We start from the raw sequence: 1456 nt of genomic DNA on the forward strand, positions 1-1456 counted from the left end.
CAGGATGAAGTTGTTCTCCAAAGTTTCCTTATCTGCCAAAGGCTGGAAACACCAAGGAAGAAATCAACACCTCTAGTCCCTTCCCTTAGTTTTTATTAACTGGACTCATATTGTAGGAAGAAAGATTGAAGTTTGTCAGAACACCAGAACAGACTCCTGTCACAAACCATTGTCTGCTCTGTGGGCCCAACAGACTTTGTTGCAGGCCATTGTAGGGTCTTCAAGCCCATTGAATTCCCCTAAAAATCATTTACTATTTCCCTAAAATTATCCACACTTTCCCATCTCCACTTGCCCTAAGAAGGAGGGAACATAGTCACCTGTACCTCATTGTGTGGTACCATAATATCTATGTGGTTCTCTCCCATGCACATTAATATATTTATATGGCTTTTCTCTTACTAATATGTCTTGCATCATTTGATTTTCAGTGAACCTTCAGAGGGCTAAGAGGAAGTTTTCCACTGGTCCCTACACCAGCCTCAGTGAATTTCACCAGACATGTGGAAACCATTCAGTCAGGGAATCAAGGGTAGCACGACACAGATTTCTGGAGCTCTTTCTCTGCATGTTTCACTTTTCTCTGTTACTTTATCTGGTAAACTATGGCTACTTCAGTCTCCCCCTCAGCCCAAGCTCTGTATTCTTAACTAAGGCCCTCATGCTGTTTTGTTTCTCACTCTGAGCTATAGTCCAGGCAGTGCCTCAGGCAGAAATCCATGACAATTGCAGTGCTCACTTCAATTGTTTTACTTCTTTCAGGGATCACAATCCTGTACTGGCTGCTAACTAATTTCTGCAAACAGATTTTTCCACGTATTTTCTCCAGTTTTTCCAGTTGTTTTTAAAGAGAGGGCAAGTCTAGTTTTAGCCACAAATTTATGGTTAGAAGAAAAAGTCCTCTCTCTATATTTTGTCACTTAGTGTCCTTACATGGTAAATTTCCAGGTGTATACATCACAGATATCACTGTTCATAAAGGCGGAATTCGTTGCAATGTTATTACTTTCTCTTTACATTTTCCCCATAACTTCTTATCTCTTTTCTTTTTTTAAATTTTTTTGGTTATTGATGGGAAATTGTATTACCTTTTATTTTAAGGAACTGGAAGAGAGGGAGTAATGATCTGTACATTCTGAATATTATCCATAGTTTCTAGTTAAGCATATTCTTAATTTAATTTCTATTATTTAAAAAAGATTACATTTACATAATTTACATATAAAATAAGGTTACAAGTCTTTAAAAAAGTTCTCTCTCTACTCAACCAGTTTTGCTCCTCTATCCATAATTTTTCCTGCTATTCGAGGACTAAGGTCTGATTTTTTATCTTGCCCAAATTCCTACCTAAGGGGACTGGGGAGTAATGCCCTGCAAACCATAAATTCTCATCAGATGGGTTTTATTTGACCCTAGATATTGTGACATTTTTCAGTCTGACTCTGCCATAACATTA

The 1456-nt window shown here is 37.7% G+C and overlaps 1 annotated feature.

Annotated features, from left to right (window-relative positions):
• Positions 327-1014: an enhancer, noted in NCBI's record as "OCT4-NANOG hESC enhancer chr10:67085516-67086203 (GRCh37/hg19 assembly coordinates)". NCBI's record gives its function as "activates a minimal SCP1, AML or CMV promoter by ChIP-STARR-seq in naive H9 embryonic stem cells {active_cell/tissue: H9 hESC(naive)}" and the evidence as "EXISTENCE:reporter gene assay evidence [ECO:0000049][PMID:30033119]".

Source organism: Homo sapiens, chromosome 10, assembly GCF_000001405.40.
Source record: "Homo sapiens chromosome 10, GRCh38.p14 Primary Assembly".
Classification (NCBI taxonomy): Eukaryota; Metazoa; Chordata; class Mammalia; order Primates; family Hominidae; genus Homo; species Homo sapiens.